The following is a 3,745-nucleotide window of genomic DNA, read 5'->3' on the forward strand; positions in this document are numbered from 1 at the left end:
GAGCTTCCCTAAAAAAGTGACATCTGAACTGAGATCTGAAACATGAACTCACTAGGTGTGGGAGTAGGATGAACTAGAAGTGGGAGGAGCTGACAGTAGACAGGTAAGTGAACCTTCCCTTGGACTCATCTCCAGGACAAGCTTGCGTATGGAGATTTGTCCCTGAGGCCCAAGGAGTGGGATGGCTCCTGGAGACCACGGGGGTGGGGAAATGAGGAAGCAAGGAGAGTTATCTTTACTCTTCTGAGAACAGTACTTAGAAGGCAGGCCAACCCTTTTCTATTTCTACTAATATTCTAGAATTCTCTATTTTGAAAACAAGACTATTTTTATCCTCTGTCAGTCCTCTGAGCCCAAGCCAAGCCATCGCATCCCCTGTGACTTCCAGGTATATGACCAGATGGCCTGAAGTAACTAAAGAATCACAAAAGAAGTGAATATGCCCTGCCCCACCTTAACTGATGACATTCCACCACAAAAGAAGTGTAAATGGCCGGTCCTTGCCTTAAGTGATGACATTATCTTGTGAAAGTCCTTTTCCTGGCTCATCCTGGCTCAAAAACACCCCCACTGAGCACCTTGTGACCCCCACTCCTGCCCGCCAGAGAACAAACCCCCTTTGACTGTAATTTTCCTTTACCTACCCAAATCCTATAAAATGTCCCCACCCTTATCTCCCTTCGCTGACTCTCTTTTCGGACTCAGCCCACCTGCACCCAGATGAAATAAACAGCCACGTTGCTCACACAAAGCCTGTTTGGTGGTCTCTTCACACGGACGTGCATGAAATTTGGTGCCGTGACTGGGATCGGGGGACCTCCCTTGGGAGATCAATCCCCTGTCCTGCTCTTTGCTCTGTGAAAAAGATCCACCTATGACCTCAGGTCCTCAGACCGACCAGCCCAAGAAACATCTCACCAATTTCAAATCCGGTAAGCGGCCTCTTTTTACTCTCTTCTCCAGCTTCCCTCACTATCCCTCAACCTCTTTCTCCTTTCAATCTTGGTGCCACACTTCAATCTCTCCCTTCTCTTAATTTCAATTCCTTTCATTTTCTGGTAGAGACAAAGGAGACACATTTTATCCGTGGACCCAAAACTCTGGCGTCGGTCACGGACTGGGAAGGCAGCCTTCCCTTGGTGTTTAATCATTGCAGGGGCACCTCTCTGATTATTCACCCACGTTTCAAAGGTGTCAGACCACGCAGGGATGCTTGCCTTGGTCCTTCACCCTTAGCGGCAAGTCCCGCTTTTCTGGGGAAGGGGCAAGTACCCCAACCCCTTCTCTCCTTGTCTCTACCCCTTCTCTGCTTTTCTGGGGGAGGGACAAGTACCCCTCAACCCCTTCTCCTTCACCCTTAATGGCAAGTCCCGCTTTTCTGGGGGAGGGGCAAGTACCCCTCAACCCCTTCTCCTTCACCCTTAGTGGCAAGTCCCGTGTTTCTAGGGGGCAAGAACCCCCAATCCCTTATTTCTGCACCCCAACCTCTTATCTCTGTGCCCTAATTCCTTATTTCCATGCCCCAACCCTTTCTCTGCTTTTCTGGAGGGCAAGAAACCCCTACCGCTTCTCCGTGTCTCTACTCTTTTCTCTGGGCTTGCCTCCTTCACTATGGGCAAGTTTCCACCTTCCATTCCTCCTTCTTCTCCCTTAGCCTATATTCTTAAGAACTTAAAACCTCTTCAACTCTCACCTGACCTAAAATCTAAGCATCTTATTTTCTTCTGCAATGCCGCTTGACCCCAATACAAACTCGACAGTAGTTCCAAATAGCTGGAAAATGGCACTTTCAATTTTTCCATCCTACAAGATCTAAATAATTCTTGTAGTAAAATGGGCAAATGGTCTGAGGTGCCTGACATCCAGGCATTCTTTTACACATCAGTCCCTTCCTAGTCTCTGTGCCCAGTGCAACTCGTCCCAAATCTTCCTTCTTTCCCTCCCTCCTGTCCCCTCAGTCCCAACCCCAAGCGTTGCTGAGTCTTTCTAATCTTCCTTTTCTACAGACCCATCTGACCTCTCCCCTCCTCGCCAGGCCAAGCTAGGTCCCAATTCTTCCTTGGCCTCTGCTCCTCCACCCTGTAATCTTTTTATCGCCTCCCCTCCTCACACCTGGTCCAGCTTACAGTTTCGTTGTGTGACTAGCCCTCCCCCACCTGCCCAGCAATTTACTCTTAAAAAGGTGGCTGGAGCCAAAGGCATAGTCAAGGTTAATGCTCCTTTTTCTTTATCCCAAATCAGAAGCCTTTAGGCTCTTTTTTATCAAATATAAAAACCCAGCCCAGTTCATGGCTCGTTCGGCAGCAACCCTGAGACACTTTACAGCCCTAGACCCTAAAAGGTCAAAAGGCCATTTTATTCTCAATATACATTTTATTACCCAATCTGCTCCCGACATTAAATAAAACTCCAAAAATTAGAATCTGGCCCTCAAACCCCACAACAGGACTTAATTAACCCATCTTCAAGGTGTACAATAACAAAAAAAAAAGTTGCAATTCCTTGCTTCCACTGTGAGACAAACCCCAGCCACATCTCCAGCACACAACAACTTCCAAACGCCTGAACTGCAGTGGCCAGGCGTTCCTCCAGAACCTCCTCCCCCAGGAAATTGCTACAAGTGCCAGAAATCTGACCACCAGGCCAAGGAATGCCTGCAGCCCAGGATTCCTCCTAAGCAGTGTCCCATCTGTGTGGGACCCCACTGGAAATCGGACTGTTCAACTCACCTGGCAGCCACTCCCAGAGCCCCTGGAACTCTGGCCCAAGGCTCTCTGACTGACTCCTTCTTGGCTTAGCAGCTGAAGACTGATGCTGCCTGATTGCCTCGGAAGCCCCGTAGACCATCACGGACGCCGAGCTTCAGGTAACTCTCACAGTGGAGGGTAAGTCCATCCCCTTCTTAATCAATATGGAGGCTACCCACTCCACATTACCTTCTTAAGGGCCTGTTTCCCTTGCCTCCATAACTGTTGTGGGTATTGACGGCCAGGCTTCTAAACTTGTTAAAACTCCCCAACTCTGGTGCCAACTTAGACAATACTCTTTTATGCACTCTTTTTTAGTTATCCCCACCTGCCCAGGTCCCTTATTAGGCCGAGATATTTTAACCAAATTATCTGCTTCCCTGACTATTCCTGGACTATAGCCGCATCTCATTGCTGCCCTTCTTCCCAATCCAAAGCCTCCTATGCGTCCTCCTCTTGTATTGCCCCACCTTAACCCACAAGTATAAGATACCTCTACTCCCTCCTTGGCGATGGTTCACGCACCCCTTACCATCTCATTAAAACCTAATCACCCTTACCCCACTCAATGCCAATATCCCATCCCACAGCACGCTTTAAAAGGATTAAAGCCTGTTATCACTCGCCTGCTACAGCATGGGCTTCTAAAACCTATAAACTCTCCTTTCCCTTCCCCCATTTTACCTGTCCTAAAACCAGACAAGGCTTACAAGTTAGTTCAGAATCTGCGCCTTATCAACCAAATTGTTTTGCCTATCCACCCTGTGGTGCCAAACCCATACACTCTCCTATCCTCAATACCTCCTTCTACTACCCATTATTCTGTTCTGGATCTCAAACATGCTTTCTTTACTATTCCTTTGCACCCTTCATCCCAGCCTCTCTTTGCCTTCACTTAGACTGACCCTGACACCCATTAGGCTCAGCAAATTACCTGGGCTGTACTGCCGCAAGGCTTCACAGACAGCCGCCATTACTTCAGTTAAGCCCAAATTTCA

At 48.3% G+C, this 3,745-nt stretch overlaps 2 annotated features.

Moving 5' to 3' along the window:
• Positions 101 to 632: an enhancer, noted in NCBI's record as "OCT4-NANOG-H3K27ac-H3K4me1 hESC enhancer chr20:38897457-38897988 (GRCh37/hg19 assembly coordinates)". NCBI's record gives its function as "activates a minimal SCP1, AML or CMV promoter by ChIP-STARR-seq in naive and primed H9 embryonic stem cells {active_cell/tissue: H9 hESC(naive and primed)}" and the evidence as "EXISTENCE:reporter gene assay evidence [ECO:0000049][PMID:30033119]".
• Positions 633 to 1,164: an enhancer, noted in NCBI's record as "OCT4-NANOG-H3K27ac-H3K4me1 hESC enhancer chr20:38897989-38898520 (GRCh37/hg19 assembly coordinates)". NCBI's record gives its function as "activates a minimal SCP1, AML or CMV promoter by ChIP-STARR-seq in naive H9 embryonic stem cells {active_cell/tissue: H9 hESC(naive)}" and the evidence as "EXISTENCE:reporter gene assay evidence [ECO:0000049][PMID:30033119]".

This window comes from Homo sapiens, chromosome 20, assembly GCF_000001405.40.
Source record: "Homo sapiens chromosome 20, GRCh38.p14 Primary Assembly".
Lineage (NCBI taxonomy): Eukaryota > Metazoa > Chordata > Mammalia > Primates > Hominidae > Homo > Homo sapiens.